The sequence below is a fragment of the Homo sapiens genome, chromosome 2 (assembly GCF_000001405.40).
Source record: "Homo sapiens chromosome 2, GRCh38.p14 Primary Assembly".
Classification (NCBI taxonomy): Eukaryota; Metazoa; Chordata; class Mammalia; order Primates; family Hominidae; genus Homo; species Homo sapiens.
Window position 1 is genome coordinate 49,640,775 of NC_000002.12, and position 18,945 is coordinate 49,659,719.

At 34.7% G+C, this 18,945-nt stretch overlaps 1 protein-coding gene across 2 annotated transcripts in view; it reads left to right on the forward strand.

Annotated features, from left to right (window-relative positions):
* LOC124906005 (uncharacterized) overlaps positions 1–18,282 on the forward strand; it is a 95,669-nt gene extending 77,387 nt beyond the window's left edge. For both annotated transcript variants that reach the window (XR_007086317.1, XM_047446571.1), the window contains 2 exons: positions 11,311–11,451; positions 16,716–18,282. Coding sequence is in view for 1 of the 2 variants with exons in the window: in XM_047446571.1 (XP_047302527.1) it covers positions 11,311–11,451; positions 16,716–16,755 (181 nt within the window). In the remaining variant the exon portion in view is untranslated. The remainder of the gene's footprint in view (positions 1–11,310; positions 11,452–16,715) is intronic.
* Positions 18,283–18,945: the final 663 nt, after the last annotated feature.

Below are 18,945 nucleotides of genomic sequence, written 5' to 3' on the forward strand. Positions count from 1 at the left end.
GAGCAATGGATGAGGCAAGAAGAAGTACCTACACTCATTTTGAATAACAAAAGGGATGGAATGTGATCTTCCTAACAGGTCCAAAGAAGCAGACACTGTCTTTATTCCCTACTATGAATATTATTAGGTTACAACAAGAAATAGTTTCCATTTTTCCATCATCGAAAACAGCTGGCAAAGAAAGGATATTAGATGGAATAGCAAGCCTGCAGAGATACACAAAGAGAAACAGACAAAAAATTTACAAGTTTTCAACTTTTCATCTGCATTAGTCCCACTTAGAGATGTCTGTGATGCAACTAACTAATCATCATATAACATCTAGCGAGAAGTTCTAATCAGGCTTGCTAGGCTATACAAGGTTGATTCCAACTCTAAGTTTATATAGCAGTTCTCCTTGCTAAAAAACACCTCTTCTCTGATGGGGCAAGATGGCTGTACTTCCGTGTGTCATGTTGTGTGCTCAACTGATCTGATGGATCAACCAGCTAAAGGAGAATTGATTTTATTGCTAGTTTTATATCAATAGTGTTTCAGAGAAGATTTTCATTTCACTTCACCCAAGACACTTTCAGGCATTTAAGCAAAATGCTTTTAGCTAAATGCGAATGATATAGAAAATGGCTTTTTTCATGAAATACTCAAAAGACTGTAACTTGTAGTTTCAAGGAGCATTTATTTCCATTTTACTTCTATATCTTCAGTAGATACTGTACTTAAAATTTGACCCTTGATTCACAGCACTGAACATGGGCTTCAGTGGGTGAAATAAATTAAAATTTTAAGTCCAGGCAAGAGCTCTTGGGAGAAAAATTGAAGGTCAGATAAGGTCGGGTAGCCTGGACCCCAGAATGAATGATAAAGAACTTAAGGGGACTTAAAAACAAGCTCTGACACATGACCACTTGGTATTGCTTGAACAAAGCAGTTGAAGAGGGCATGTGTGATATTTGTTAAAGGAGAAAGTACACATATTGCTGTTGTCATTTAGTGACTAGATGTTGTGGCCCAGGTGAGTTATAATTGAATATGTATTATTAAAATACACTAACGGACTTTTACTTGTTAGTTAACACATCTGCACAAATGCTATTTATCAACCACTGACTTTCTTGGAGATCATCTCTTTCCATTTAAATCCTTTATAAAAGGCATTCTCTACTCTCATCCCAGTTTAATGGGGGAAAAGATGATAAGAAGACTAACTTGAAATAGAAATGTAACTTAATATTTCAAAGCCCTTAGGTCTCTGATTAGACCATTACTCTGCACATAATCTCTTACTAAACTAAATTGATTCTTTTTCAATATAAAAGTAGTACAAAGCCTTTGAATTTTGAACTAGGGAAGTTCTGTGAGCTCTTTGAATTGCAAGCCAGTAAATAGCAAATCTTACTTAATTAATAAAATAATGAGATAGGGACGAAAAACATGATGTTAAGACACAGTAAGAATTGACTAGAGCTGCATTTTTAGCTGTAAATTTGGTGAGTAGACTTTGCTTGTGAGACAGGCAACATTAATTACTCTGTTACCATAGCAGATTCTGTATTAAAAAAAAAATTAAACTGCAAAGAAGTAGGAAAGCATCTGTGGGTGCATTCCTTTACACCAATAAAATAATTTTATTGAACTCTATTCATGTGCCTACTTAGAATTTAAATTCAGGAGATCTTATAGGCCTGTATTCATTAAATATTATGCACCATTTTATATGGGAATGCTCATAAAAGGGGAATGTGGAACACAATTAGAAGAAATAAATTCAGCATGGCTTTGGCACTCTATAAAATCTCCTTGTCACTGTGCGTCTGTAACTGACTCCTTATAACCAGGCACAACCAATACTCAGTGATTGGAGAATTTAAAAGCAGTTTGCTTTTAAAGTCAAAATTCACTATATTTCAAAATCTCACTGACAGCCTAGTTTCCATTCAACCACATGATCAAACTGACAAGATATGTATTTTATAGGTTTTTGTCTTTTTTTGGTCCTAGTCATGTTGGAAAACTAATATTGGTTACTGAATCTCAATTTTACTCCTAGCATGATAGTATCCTTGCCCTTATGACATTTCCATGACCCCATGTCCTCCTCAACTGAAGCCAAGCTTTTTCTTGTTCCACTTGTCTATTCCCCTACATCTGAACCTCAGTCCCTTTATCAGGTCATCTGCAGTCAGATACCCTTATCACAAACTGCCTGTTACCAAGATTTTTAGATTCTGTGCTTGATCAGGTCTTTCTGTTCTCACCAGATCCCTTACTTCTTCCCTTGATGCCCAATTTAAAAAACATTTTGGCCACTGTCAAATGTCGACAAAATATAACTTGATCTATTTTCAGCCACCACGTCATTTTTAAATTGTATTCTTTCTCAATGTGCATATAAACACACTATACCAATTCCTTCCTTACACAGTTGATCATTCCTTCTTCACTGCCATTGCTGCCTCTTGTTCCTTCTTTCACAGAACAAATATAAATCCCCTCAAGATTGTCTCTTCAATCCTCTGCTATTTCCTTTCTACATACTTCCCCTTAGACACCTCAGCTACTCCTATGGTTACAGCTGTCATCACTGGCAACTGACACCCACGTCAACATCTATTTACCATCATTTTCCTTAGGCACCCAGACTCAACGTTGAGCATCATTTTACATTTGCCAACTACTTTAAATTATCAGTAAGACCCATTTATTTCCTCTCACATTGTTTATTTACTCCTTTAGTGAAGACTTTAATATGGGTTTTTATTAACTCATAACTATATATTTACCTTAAACTGCTATTTTCTCACCTCTCATCTTCTTATATACTACCACAGAGTAAATCTTGCTAAAATTATCTGACTAAAGCTTCAATAGCTGCCCATTAATTTATAACAGCATTTACCAAAAAACGGGACACGTAACACTGGTTACAATGGAAAAAAGTAATTGGTTTTAATAGTTAAGTATTTTGTTCATAAGAAGTTTAATCATCACCTTAAACAATGATTTTATGGCTAATATTGCACAAGATGACTACAACATTTTTTTAATGAGCCAATTTAAAGAATGACTAAGTACAAAACAGTAGAAAAGCATGGCCAAAAAAATTGAGGTAATATTGACCCATTGAATAAAATCCGTCTGACTCAGTCTCCTCTACTATTTTCCGTTTTCAATCTTGCTTCCCACGATTTGACCACAGACATGTTCTCTTCTCAATAATCAATTTAGTGTTCTTTGAACATGGCATGTGCCATTTCATCATGCCAGTGAGGTTGCCACAGAGCAGTAGGACAGTAAACATAAGAAGTTCAAGGATAAATGTTTTAAGATTGTAAGTCCTCAGAAACAGGGCTCAAAGTAAAAGACGAAAGGGATGGAATAGGATATCAAGCTGGTGAGGCCAGCCAATAACACACACACGAATCAGTGAGCAAGGCTGTAAGCAAGAAGTTTCTAAACTGAATTACAGAGTGTGGTACCAGTTACAGTGAACACTCAAAATAATCATTCGACATGAAAATCTATTAATGCTTGGAATTCAGCAGAATTTAGGCCTAGCTTTTTCAAGACTCCAAATTCCCTTAGATTTTTCTATATCTGTGACTTGGCCCTGTTATTTTCTCAGCCTCTAGTTCCCCATCTCCTAATATTTAACTTCTAAATGCTACCAGGCTTTGATACGCAGCTCAACTTCTTTTTCTAGGGTTTCTTGTTTGATTAGCCAAACTAGAGTTGATACTTTCCTTATTTGAAATGTTATAGCATTTATTATCATTTCTAATCCTATGTCCTACTCATATCAACATGTTCTTCTTTATATCAAAGTGATTTGCATATATAACTTTTTATCTGTTTCTTTGAAAGCTCTTTACAAAGATTAAAAGTTGACTTGTATAAATAAATTCAGTAGTACCTCACCCATATTTTTTAAATGGCAAATTCTTGATATATAGGCTTTTTTGTTCTAGATCTGTAAGAAAACAGTTTTGCTTATGCAATGCTTAATATTTGTTTAATTTGTTTAATATTTAAGCAGAAGCCAACGATATGTCCTGCAATGTTTTGGAGGTTAGTGATGATGGTAAATGACAAAAATAACTGATTTGTGGGGCAGATGCTTGTGTTAGTGCTATTCAATGACTCCTACTTACAGGAAAGAGGGAGCAATGATAGACAGTTGCCTTCCTTCTTCAAAGAAAGGAATCTATCCGGATGGATGGATAGATAGGTGATATTTGAGACCATTGTTGTGTATCCAAGGAAATTTACCACATAGCTATTTCAAACCAAGTGGTTTAATAAAGTTTCCTTATGTAAAACATAACATCTATGTTATTTTATATCTCTAGAGCCACAGGAGATAGGAAGGTAGAATTATCTATCTATATATATTTTAAAAGGAATGTGGGTACATAAGAAGAGTTTAGTAGGAACATACCTGCATTAATATTACATTTCATCTTCTTATCATGAATGAGTTTGATCCAGATATCTACTATTCTTCCTGCAGAAATCTAAGATGACTCTGATTTTCAATATGTTAGCCTTCCATTTGACCTGTCTGTCATGAGTCATCACTCTAATCCAGATGATTAGACTCAAAAGGAAAAATATAATTTTTCAAGTTTCCCTCAAGAATTATCTTTCAATAAAGAGAATGAAGATTCCCTTTGAAATAAAACTGCTTTTACAAATGTCAACATTGGCAATGTATGGGAACATTCCCATAGCTGCTGCTATGCCTACTTCACTGGAAATTCCTTAGGCTTCAATATTGACCCAATCTTTGGTTAAATCTATCAATAAAAAATCAGCACCTATTAATCTTTCTACTATAGCTAATTATTATAGGTACGTTGAGAAAATTAAAAGTATAAAGATGATATTTCTTTCATATCCTGAATGAATGACTTTACAAGGTAATAGTAGGAATAAGATATACAATATGAAAGTGAAATTAAAACAAAATTACAATTAAAATTTCAGTGAAATATAACATCTAAATACATGCTAAAATGGGAAACAAATAATATAGACAATAAGTATCATGTGTCAGAGATTCAGAATAAAAACATCAATGTGGCTTGTATATAAAAGCCAATTTTATATATCCCCTTAATAAATAATTGATTGTTATCTACTTGTAAAATATAGGTTTTTAATAACTTCATTTTTTATTTTAGACTCAGGAGGTATATGTGTAGGATTGATACATGGGCACATTGCATAATGGTGGGGTTTGGGTTTCTAGTGAACCCATCACTCATATATGAATGTAGAACACAATAGGTAGTTTTTCAACACTTCCCTCCACCTTCTAACCCCCTTTTGCAGTAGCCAGTGTCTATTATTTTCATCTTTATATCCATCTGTACTCATTGTTTAGCTCCCACTTATAAGTGAGAATATTCAGCATTTGATTTTCTGTTTCTGTGTTACTTCACTTAGGATTACGGCTTCCAGCTGCATCCATGTTGTGCAAAGGACATGATTTCATTTTTTATGGCTGTGTAGTATTCCATGGTGAACATATACCACATTTTCTTTATCCAATCCACTGTTGATGAACACTTGATTCCATGACTTTGCTATTGTGAATAGTGCTGATAAACATATGAGTGCAGGTATCTTTTTGATAAAACTATTTATTTTCCTTTGGAGAGATGCTCAGTAGTGGGATTGCTGGTTTGAATGGTAGTTCTATGTTTTGTTCTTTGAGAAATCTCCACACTGTTTTCCATAGGAGTTGAACAAATTTACTTTCTCACCAGCAGAGAACAAGCATTCCCTTTTCTCTGCATCCTTGCCAACATCTGTTACTTTTTGACTTTTTAATCATAGCCATTCTGACTGGTGTGAGATGGTATCTCATGTGATTTTAATTTGCGTTTCTATGGTGATTAGTGATGCTGAGCTTTTTTTCTTACGTTTGTTGGCTGCATGTGTCTCTTCTTTTGACAAGTGTCTGTTCATGTCTTTTCCCCACTATTTAAAGGGTTTACTTGTTTTTGGCTTATTAAGTTTCTTAAAGATTCTAGATACTATACCTTTGTTGGATGCACAGTTTGTGAATATGTTTTCCCCTTCTATAGGTTGCCTCTGTACTCTGTTGATTATTTTTCTTGCTGTGCAGAATCTCTTTAGCTTAATTAGGTCCCAGTTAACAATTTTTGTTTTTGTTGCTATTGCTTTTAAGGACTTAACCATAATTTTTTTCCTAAGGCCAATGCCCAGAATAGTGCTTCTTAGGTTTTCTTCTAGGATTCTTACAGTTTGAGGTCTTACATGTAAATCTTTAATTCATCTTGAGTTAATTTTTGTATATGGTGAAAGGTAGAGATCTAGTTTTATTCTTCTGCATTTAGCTAGCCAGCTGTCCCAGCACCATTTATTGAATATGGAGTCATTTCCCCATTGCTTATTTTTGTTGGCTTTATCAACAATCAGAAGGCTGTAGGTATGTCACCTCTGACTTTTTCCATTCTGTTCCATTGGCTATGTGTCTGTTTTTGTTCTATTACCATGCTGTTTTTGTTATTGTAGCTTTATAGTATATTTTGAAATTGGGTAATGTGATGCCTCTGGCTTTATTCTTTTTGCTTAGGATAGCTTTGGCTATTTGGACTCTTTTTTCATTCCATATGAATTTAGGATAGTTTTTTTTCTAATTCTGTGAAAATTGATATTGGTAGTTTGATAGGAATAGCATTGAATCTGTAGGTTGCTTTGGACAGTATGGACATTTCAATGATATTTTTTCTTCCAGTCCCTGAGCATGGAAGTTTTTCCACTTGTTTGTTTTATTTATGAGTTATTTCAGCAGTGTTTTATAGTTCTGCTTGTAGCGGTCTTTCACCTTCTTGGTTAAATGTATTCCTAGGTATTACATTATTTTATTTTTTGTGGCTATTATAAATGGAATTGTATTCTTGATTTGGCTCTCAGCATGACTGTGATTGGCATATAGAAATTCTATTGATTTCTGTACATTGATTTTGTATCTTGAAACTTTACTGAAGTTATTTATCAGTTTTAGGAGCCTGTTGGAGGGTCTTTAGGGTTTTCTAGGTATAGAATCATATCATAACAAAGAGAGATAACTTAACTTATTATTTCCCTACTTGGATGACTTTTATTTCCTTCTCTTGCCTGGTTGCTCTAAGACTTCCAGAACTCTGTTCAGTAGGAGTGGTGAGAATGGGCTCCTTATCTCATTCCTATTCACAAGGGGAAATGCTTGCAGCTGTTTTCTGTACAGTATGATGTTGGCTGTGGATATGCTATAGATGGCTCTTAATATATTGAGGAATAGTCCCTTGATGCCTAGTTTTTTGAGTGGTTTTATCATAAAGGGATAATGGATTTTATCAAAGCTTTTTCTGTGTCTGTTTATTTTTCTCCTCTTATAGAGTAAAATGCAAATTCTTTAGTTTGGAAATCTAATCAGATTCTACTTTCCTAAATTTACTTCTCATTACACTGCTGTCTACTCTTTATAATATGCCCCATGTTTTCCCAGTCTTTGTTTATGCTGTTCCCTCTGTCTGAAAATCTTCCCTGCTCTTTACTTTCACATCATCATTTCAGAACATCCAAATCTTTATCTTATTATTAAAGATGCATTTTAAATACTTTTCTTATAAATCCTTCATTGATCCAATCCAGCTTAAGGTGCCCCCTTTCTTCTGAAATCAGGTCTTATACTCTGAATGAGGTATTTCTAAGGAGAAGCAAAAATTCTAGGGAGCCAAAGAAGACAGAGGCTATTTTCCTTCACATAAGAATCTGTAACAGAGTTCTGAGACATACAGGCATTGTATTATGCAGACAGTATGGTGCCTTTTTGTGTGTCTTAAGCATTTCCTCTGTGAGTTTTATATAACATAGCATCATATCATTTTTATCCTTCATTTCTGCAATATTATTCTCTGCACTTTTATAGTTGCCTGATGAAACTTTAGCAATTTCAACCTTCCAAGTTGATAGCCTATGGAAATAAGTGTCAATACTATCCTCTTTTTACAAGTCATGTTCATAGAATGGGCATAAAACATTTGAATATTTTGAACTATAATAATGTGAACATACATTACGCATTTATATATTTTAAGCTTCAAACACCACTATGATAAATAACATAAATCACTGTACATTCACAACATATTCAAATAAATCATGATTATCTAAAGTAATTAAGGAAAGGACAATTGTAATTACATCTTTGGAATGAAATGGATTGGTATGTGATCCATCATTTTCTAAAATTTGGAGTGAGAGGGTCTTAAAAATCAAGAGCTTAATTTTTCTGATTGTTGCAAAGAAGTGCTAGGCATACCCAACCCCAAAATCCAGAACTTTCTCTCTCTCTGACAAAACATCAAAAAACAATCTTAATCAGAAAATGTCAAATTTTTAGTTCGGCTTAGAACTTAAAGCACATGGAATTTTCCTCTAACATAAAGATACTGTTAAAAATTGGTTTTCTTGATTTTCTATTTGTGCTTTTATGCCCAAAAGTATATCCTCACAAAACCTCTTACTAAAAGAACAAGTTTTATGATGTTGAAATTTGGAACATTGTAACGATTTTTTCATAGTCACTCCATTTATTTTCGTGTGGTTATTCATGCTGTGGCCCACCTATAATTCCCCCCCCCCCGATTTCTATCTGTTGCAGTCATAGTCATTCTTTACAATCCACATAGCTAAGATAGTGTTACCCAACTCTATGAGACGTATTACTGTATAGAGTACTGTCGAAATTATTTTAATCCTTGATTTTCCTGTTATTAGCAGTGCTACTTTGGACAAACCGCTTAATTTCAGTTTATTTCTAAAATGAGGAATAAGGCAAGTTGTGAGGGATAAAATAATGCTAAGGACTTATTGGAAGGCTGGGTATGTAGGTATGAGCTGAGCAAAAATTAGTCTTTCTTCCCGTTTTGGCAGCTAAAGAGAATGCTTAGCCACCCTTGTATCCTCCGTTCTTCATACCTTCCAAGGTTCTCCTATGAAGGACTATTCCTGGGCTTTTGCAATGGAGAGTCAGGTAGAAAGGAGGAGGAAAAGAGGACTATGGGAAGCACACTGGTAAAAGGGCTGGAAGAATTGGGGCAGGTTTGAGGATTTAGGTATAGAAGCAGCTACTTTGTGTAAGGTCATTGAATAGGAGGGAACACAGAGAGAGTTTTAGAAATTTGATAGTTGAGTAAGTGTTCTCTTCAAAATGTTTGAACAACACTAGAGACTAGTTATTACAAAATTACTTTTGACATAGAAGCCCACTTAAAAGAACTCCCAATGGCTAAAGCTGTAACAGTTTGAGTAAAAAAATAAATAGTGATAATACTAGATTATAACCCACAGAATAAAATAAATATTCATGAGCCCACTGTGTAATAAATATGCAATCAAACAAATAAATAAATGGTGGATCTTGCCTCTAGCAATTATTGCTGTCTTACAGAAGAATCTTAATTAATAAATGCAGAAGAAATAAGGAAAACATATGAATGTTAAAATTATGGGCAAAAGTTTGAAAAGAAATAGAATATTTGCAGATAGTTTCTAAATTAAAAAGAAAAAAATGGTAAGTCTACTGCTGAAAAGCCCAGAAGGAAGAGATCTATCTTAAGCAAGAGATCATTATTAACATCACCGGTAGTAACAAATTGACATCACGTACCTCTTAATATAATGCACTAAGAAGAGTATATTACTTATGTGGCATTCTTGCTACAAATGGCAAATCCTCAATCTAATAATGAGAAAATAGCAGAAAACTCCATGTGATGGGCAGCCTACAAAATAATTGTCTAATATTCTTCAAAAGTGTCAAGGTAATGAAAAACAAGGAAGACTATGCAAATATTACAGTTTGAAAGAGACTAATAAGACATCATAATGAAATGCTCTTTGCCATCTTAGATTGGTTCCTGAAACAGAAAAAAGACATTAGTGGAAAAACTGATGAAAACCAAATAATAAAGTCAGAGGTTTAGTTAATAGCATTGTGCTGATATTGACTTAATTTTGATAATTGCACCATGCTATGTAACAGTAACATTAGAGGAAGCTGGGTGAAGGATATATAGAAACTATATTATTTTTGCACCTTTTCTGTAAGTCAAAAATTATTTCAAGCTAAAAACATTTAACAACTATTTTGGCTGAATCAACTATATATTTGGTTTACAACACTGTTCCGGGATGAAATATGTTGGTGCCATTAATTGCCCTCTTTACTTCTCAGAGGCACAAGCATATTTATCATTAAGCAAATAATCCTTAAACTTTAGGTCAGTCCCCTAATTTGCTCGGGGCTCTCTCAAGACCATATATTTAATGTTGAATTTATAATTTTGTATTACTGTCTTAACAAAAAGATCCTTTCTCATATTTTATAAGCTTCAAATCTCACTAGAGATCTGTCTCTGCCAGTTAGCAAAGGAAATTCAAAGATTGGTTCCAGGATGGTAGGGAGGGAAGGAAGCTTAAACCTTGGCTAAAATAACCAATCTAGATGTAGGACCAAGTATCATGGAATGGCCAACTACCTAATTAAACGTTTGAAATAAGCATGGTAAACCATGCTTACACAGACCAGAGGTCATATTCGAGAGATCCCATCACACAGGGGAATAATATTAGCTGCATGGTATTAAAAGTGAGACAGGTAGCAATATTTGTTTGGATATTTTTCTACTATTTAGAAGAAGCAGCCCAGTCAAAATGAGGAAAATGAGGGATAGAGAAGGAGTTGACAACAGTTGGGTGAGATTCCAATTAGGAGTCAGTGGTAGAGCTCTAGATCTAATGAAGATAAGAAGTCCTAAGTGGTAAAGAGAAACATCCCAGTAAAAGAAATAGGAAAGTTGTGTTTTGGTAAGTGTGAGTTTTCCACACCCTTTCAAGTAATGAGAATGGGATTAGAATAATGGAGCAAATTTCAGACTATTCTCTGGAAATGGAGCTTCTAATGTTCTTTATGTCCTGACGAGTACAGGTGTGAGAAAAATGAAAATGGGTCTTCAGGTAAGTGTAACATAATTAAGAAAGCATAAATTCTAAATAAGTAGGATACTTTTTCCCATAGCAGAGGCTCAATAATTTTGGTTTGATTATTATCAAAATATTCACTAACTCTTTCTTGCTAACTCGAGTATTTTTATGTATAATAATTAAAGTGATCATAAGAGTAATAATACAAACATACGTACCATTTACAGAGATGGGCTACAAGCTAGACATTCTTTAGGGGCTTGTTATTTATAATCTTATTTACTTAGAATGACCTTGTTTTTTCTTTCCAAGACTTGATGACATTTGGATCTCTAGAAGTAGGGAGGAGAGCAGAGAAGTTTCTGAAGAAACCAGAAGAGAGAAAAAAAAAAACAGTAGAATTGTGAGAATCCAAGGAGAAACAGTAAAGCCAAAACTGGGAGAAAAGGAGAGGTAATTTACAGCATATTATTAACTTGTGATTACTTTGCTCTATATTTTGTGATGCATTTTATCACTCTGGATAGAATATAAACTTCTTAAAGACAAGACTAAAACCCAAACACTTAAACAGGCATCAAACTATTTTCAAACTATTTAACCCCTAAATATTACTGGTTGACGTATAAACTTGCCAGCTGTTGACTTTGAGGTTGAAGAATCTGAGATGAAATACTGAAATTGATTAAAGAGGCCAAATGCCACATTTTAAACTCTACTTATTCATAATAATTGTTTTTTGCATATCAAATATATATGCCAGAAAATTGAGTTCCTCTGATTTCCCTAATTTAAAATAAAAGATTAGAATCATAAAAATTATTTTGGGTGGCTTTAGACAAATGTGTGGCTAGAATCAACCAGCCTATGAAGAATTCACTTTTTTTCCCCTCTACTCTTCCTTCAGACTGAGATTTTTGAATATCAGATTTTAGCCTGAAGAGACTTTTTCTGTAGTCAAGTTATAGATTCTGACAGGAATCAGTTAACCACAGAACTGATAGATACTTATCTCTAATACTGCTTGTGGGTACCACTGAAAATGCCAAATCAGTTAAAATGGCAGCAGCAAAACAACTTACTATATACAATCTCTTTACCAAGCTTCAGCAGAAGTAAAATGTGTAGGGCTGTTTTCCTTACTAAGCAGAGCCCATAATCAAGGAAGCCCACAGGTAGGTGTAGGGAGACATAACTTTCTATATGCTCACCACTGAAGCAGGAGCTGCCTGAGGTTCCATTGAATAATTCAGTGTTTGGAACTCCTGGGTGGTGAATATCTTCCAATAGAAACACTCAGCAGAAAGAACTGGGAACTCACACGCTGTAGATTTTCTTTAATGGTTTAGCCAAGTATCACACGCAGCAGACATAACGGTGTTTAAACAGTCTGCCCAGCCTACTGGGTCTTTGCCTTTAGGTAGCAAATATTCTCTTAGTCTTGTTACTTTTTCCTCTCCATATAAGAATATTTAAGGACACAAACCACACACTCTTTTCAGCTACTTGTCCCCATGTAGGCTTAAAATAGCACCAATATATAATGCTAAAATTTTACAACTGACTATTTGAAACATAATTGTTCTATGCATTGATGTAAAGATAAATACAATGATTTTGCAATACGATGTGATGTTATTTACTGTAACTTGATCCAACTTAATACACTGGTTAAATATGTTGCAACCAAGTGGAATTACCTCATATAATACTATGTCAAGTTTGGTTAATAATCCACTTACCGTAAAGAAAACCGATTCTGTGAAATTGTACAACAAAAAATCTGCATAATCTCTTAGATATGTACAGAAATCAATGAGATTTGGGAAATAAAGAAAAATAATGTTATATTTCTCTTTTCTTGTAGTTAAATACTTCAAACAATTAAAATCATTACAGTATTTGCTTTCTTTGAAAAAAGATTTTTAAAAAATTTTAAAGTTTTTGTATAGACAGGGTCTCATTATATTGCCCGTGCTGGTTTTGAACTTCTAGCCTCAAGAAATTCTCCTACCTCAGCCTTGCAAAGTGCTAAGATTACAGGCATGAGCCACGCTCATATTAAAAAGGTTTTTTTTTGGTTTTTTTTGTTTTTTTGTTTTTTTTGAGATGAAGTCTCACACTGTTGCCCAGGCTGGAGCGCAATGGCGCAATCTCGGCTCACTGCAACCACCCGCTCCCGGATTCAAGTGATTGTCCTGCCTCAGCCTCCTGAGTAGCTGGGATTACAGGTGCCTGCCACCATGCCTGGCAAATTTTTTGTATTTTTTTAGTAGAGATGGGGTTTCACTATGTTGGCCAGGCTGGTCTCGAACTCCTGACCTCATGAACCACCCGCCCTGGCCTCCCAAAGTGCTGGGATTACAGGCGTAAGCAACCACGCCTGGCCTAAAAAAATTTTCAACTTGGATAGCTAACACTATTTTGACAAAACCTCTTCAATCATAAGCATCCTATCCGATTATCATTTGGATATTCAATAAATTCTTTTAAAGTGGTTGCGACTTCCTTTCATATTCAACAATAGAGTACTATGTTGGCAGTAGAGATAAAAGAATCAGCTAATCTGGATTAGTCCAGTTGTATTTCTGATTTGAGTCCTGCACTTTATGATAAAAGAATATTTACTGTAATTTTTAACAGTAAAGAATCAGTCTTAAGGAAAGGCAGGGTGATTACCTTTATTGTCAGGAATGCGTTGCTGACTGAAAATATCAATCTCTCCTCTCTCATAGTTTTTGCAAGCCTGTGCTGTTATATTTTTTTAATCAGGTAAATAGTAAAGATAACAGTTCTCCTGTATCCAAATGAAAGTATTAGTATTTACAGTAGAGAATTTCAATGGAGAAGCCAACTGAAATCCTTTCTTGTTCAAGACAGGGTACAAATAATATGCATAAACATCAATAGGGATTTGTTTGTTATATGTGTGTCTGAGTGTGGAGACTAAGGGAAGAAGCACGCTGATATTCGGTGCTAAAGACATATTGTTTGATTGATATGGTGCCCTATGGGCGTCTCATTAAGTTGTAGACAACCTATGCTTTAAGCAGGAATTTCAACTTGTTTATTTGCACTGGGCAGACTGAAATATCTTTACCACTTTAGGTGAGACTCAAGGCACTGCCACATGTGAGCAGTCTGAGAGAAATGGACTAACAAATCACAGAACAGTATAGAGAAATGAAGAGTATAGACTTTAGTGACAGGAAAACACACAATACCAACAATCTGGGTTTGATTCGTGGCTCTGTTTCAGCCTAGCTGTTTGTCCTCAGATAAGCCATTCAACTTCTCAGAAGCTCATTTTCCTCTTTTGTAAATGGGAATAGCAGGTTATCTTGGAGAATCTTTCTGAGGATGAGATGAGACAAGGTTTTGAAAGTACCTGAGCATATATTAGGAATTCAAAAAGCTATATTCACAGACATGATTAAGTATCTTCAATCACATAGGTTTTGTTTACCCTCTTTCATACTACACATAGCTATTTCATTTTTCTCCCTTTAACTTGATTTTACTTCATAAATCTCTCCTCCACCACCCCAACAGATGTGCTGTTTAATCAAACTAAACCTGTCTAATTCCACCTTATGTTATAAATCATACCTAACCTGTCTAAAATCCTTTAACACATAATGGCTTCCCATAAGCTTTTCAAATGAGTAAATCCAAGACACTAATCGAAAACGAACTTGTACAACAGAGTAGATCTCCGCTGCTTCACAGAAGGGGAGGGTGCAGGTCTCCTTGAAGTGCAAGCTCTTCATTTACAGTGAGTTTTTTAAAAAAACTACTAAGAATAGAGTGGAAGTGTGCAGAGCCATGTTTCTAAAAGCTTGGGCTATAGAGAATGCACTGCTGTCTCGGTGCAGAGTTCGGATGCCAGCAAAATGAGCCAGGTCATTGTACTAATTAGGACTGCTCCTGCATGCACTAATATATCATGAAAAAATAGCAAGGATTACAAGAGAGCTCATCTTCTCTTCTACACATTCTCAGGGCAAAAGTTACTTCTAAATAATGACAAAGGAGTCACACAAACTGACACAGAAGAGGTTCTCTTTGTTGGGATAAATTGGCTTATATCCTCCTTCCCTTTCCTGCAATCTAAAGGAATATTGTGAAACAAGTTGGATAACAACAATAATGACTTGTTTAATGAAGAGCTCATAATAGTGTGAAGTGACATTATATATTCTTTAGTCAGGCAACCTGGCATGTGTTGGCATATGCATGTAGCAAAAAGACAATAGTATGAATAATAATTTTTTTTAACATTATCTCAGTCACTGGAACCATTTGTTATAAAACCTAAAGAATACATTGCTTGTTTTCAAAGGGAAAAGTAAGGCAATATTCCAATGAAAGAAAGTGTACTGGATTGTTTTTCTTTAAGGCTATACAAGGAAATTCTCCCTTATTCTTCATGCTACCTACAGATGTAAGTACTAAACATATCATCTTAACTGTTGATAGAGAATTACAAGTAATGTGACTTTAAACTGTAATGAGATTCTGTTAAAAAATAAAATCATCACACTCTTTTTGCTCTTTTTGGCCTGGGTACAAGCCTTTTCAGTAAATTAACTAATTTTGGCAATTTTCTAATCCCATTATACCTTTGTCAGGAGAATGATTTTTCAGAATTACAATGCCTAATGCTGTATATCTTGTGAAATATAGTCATCCAGACCAAGACAGTATCATCATTTGACTCTTTCAATATATGATATTTTCATTAGTAGCAGGATATTCATGCCTTCCCCTCTACTCAGCAGGGCTATAAATAGAGAGGCCAGCCAACCAAATCACACAATATTGAAAAGGTCAAAGAAGTACAGTATATTACTATAATTTACGGACTACTGTTCATGATGTATTATAATTCTTAACAGTTTATTTATGTGCAAAGAAAATAATAAAAACATAAAGCAGTGTGGAATGGTCATGTTATTATTGCTGTGATTATAGAGATAGTAGTTAATGAAGCTTTCCTTTACACTTAAAAACCGAACATACGGGAAGGTCTATTTATATAGTCAATAACAAAATTAAAGCGGTACTTCCTTCTATTAGATTGATATAGAATTTGAAAGTGAAGAAAAGGAAAGGAAAATATGAAGAAAAGAAGCACACTAGTTAAGACAAAGGCATAGTTTATTTTCCTAGTCCCAGAAAAAACTAAAACTTATAATCTATTTAGCAGGGCTGGAAGAGACCATCTCTAAGAGCACCTGTTTCCGATTAGGCATAGATGGTTTAATTTTATATGGTCATATCTATGATTTGGCGTCAACAAAAAATGAGATTAACAATGTAGATACAAGTCTAATTCAAGGTTTTTGGTCTTAGTAATTCTTGCTTAAGCTGTCAGATTACTTGCACTGCTGGGTTAAAGTTAAGCCAAAAAGACAATTGCTCATCTGCATTTAAGCAAATGATATTTGTGGGAAGTGACTGTACAACTTCATAAACGAGATGTTAAAATCTAAATCTTATTGTTTAGGGAAAAAAGAGCTTAGATTAAGGACAGCCATATTTAAAACCTTTCAATACCCTTTTTTTTTCCCAGAATAGTTATCTGAATATAAGAAATTCTACTGTATCAAGATATTTCTTGCCAGATATTGTGTAAGGTGCTACAGATAAAAGAATGCACAATTCCCAAATTTATCATTTCTCTTCCTTTTCTTTTTTTTCCTCTTCTTTTATAGCATTCAAACACCTCCAACTGCCATTCATGACCCTTTTTGATCGTACTCTTGCCAGTCTCTCCAGCTCTGTCTCCTATCAGGCCCTACCTCAGGGTCACAACAGCAGCATCAATCAGTTCACAATGCCGTGAAACTATTTTTATGGGGATGGTGTAGAAAATCTTCACAAGAAGTCTGATCTTCCCAGTTCCTGCCACAATACCATTTTTTTTCTTCTCAAGAGAATGTAAACATTAAATTATAGTCCTTCTTCCAATTAACATCACTGGGCCTTCCTTATTTAACACAGAAAAAGGTACAAAAATTATTTTTAAAAATTACTGCCTTTGTCTCGAGGTAGAATAATAATCCATGTAAATCCTCTCCTTAAATCTGTTGTCGTGTGCTCATCTCTTCAATATATTTACCAAATTAAAAGGAGACAGAGAAAGAAAGAAAAAAAATTAAAGATGAAAGAAAGGAAAATAAATGAAGGAAGAAAGAGATGGAAGGAGGAGAAAGAAAGTAAACATCTCAGACGGATGAATCTAACAGGGGTTTTCTGTGGCATTAAGCCACTGGCTTGATTCGATTCATTATGACTATGTAAACAGTGACATTTAAACACTTTAATCAGAGGCCAGAGGATCCCTTCCACTTTCTGGACTAGAGAACCATCACCTGGAATTTTCCTAGAAAAATGATCTGTCATTTGATACCAAAAAATAAAAAAATCTGTTTTCTGCTCCCAAATGTGAGTGAAGAATACCAGTTCTGCTAATTAGGACTGTGTGGAAAGTCGAAATGACTCCCTTCTAGGCAGAGCACATAAAGCAAACTAGGAGTATCTAAATATTATTTTTTTTTGTACTTTCCATGTCATTATGATGAAAAGATCAGAACATGGCAACAGTATGAGAGGGGATGCAGTCTAAAGTTGGTCAGATACCCTGACCATCCCATCTAAAATGCCATCCCTGGTCTTCTCACATCTTATGTATACTTTCTTTCACTTTCTGGAATGTAATACCTGGAATTACATAACCATTTGGTTATTATCCAAAATAATTTTGTATGATGGAAGAGAGCTTGTTTAGACATATATTAGAGATGTGATATCATATATTCTTCTAATATTACTGTCTTTATAATTGAAGATAAATTTTAAAAATAGCAATAAAGGAAATAGTAATATCTTCATTACTCAGTTATTAATAAGGATGAACGACTTTTCCAAAACTGACTATCTTCCTCTAATAGAATGTAAGTACCTATACTATATTGGTAACTTCTGATCCCTGGTGCTTTAATCAGTGTCTTTCACACGATAGGTATTTAAATAATATTTGTTAAGTAAAGGAATGAATCCTACAACTCATTGTAATGTTTTCTGCCTCCACGCTACTGCAATATTATTTCCTTGCTCTGGAAAGCCTTTCCTTTTCTTCATTAATAGCTGGGATTCTAATTTGTCAATCAAAACTCAACTCAGTAGTTGCTCCTTCTATGACCCCATCCACTGTTCATTATCTTCTTCTCTATGCCTTCTTTGTGCATAAGTATGATGTATAATGGTGCACATAAAGTTGAATTCTACTGTGTGTTTACTTGTTTTTAAAAGAATTAAAACTCTTAAGCTAAGCTAACCCTCTCAGTCATTGTATTTTTGTCCAGGGTAACTATTCCTTTCGGATGGCCTAAAACAACATCTATGTATGCCTATTGTCCCCACTGAACTATTTATAGCACCCTGTGATGGGTAATACTGTCAATTTGATTGCATTGAAGGATACAAAGTATTGATCCTGGGTGTATCTATGAGGGTGTTGTCAAAGGAGATTAACATTTGAGTCAGTGGGCTGGGAAACGCAGACCCACCCATAATCTGGGTGAGCACAATCTATTCAGCTGCCAGGGCAGCTAGAATTAAGCAGGCAGAAAAATGTGAAAAGAGAGACTGGCCTGGCTTCCCAGCCTATATCTTCCTACCCTGCCGGACGCTTCCTGCCCTCAGATACCGGACTCCAAGTTCTTCAGTTTTAGAACTCAAACTGGTTCTTCTTGCTTCCCAACCTGCAGACAACCTATCGTGGTACCTTGTGATCACGTGAGTAAATACTTAATAATCTCCCCTTTGAGTATATATCTATTCCATTAGTTCTGTCCCTCTAGAGAACTCTAATACACACCCCTTTTCATTCCAAAACATTCCCTGTTTGGAGGATTAATTATGTCATCACTAAACTCTTGA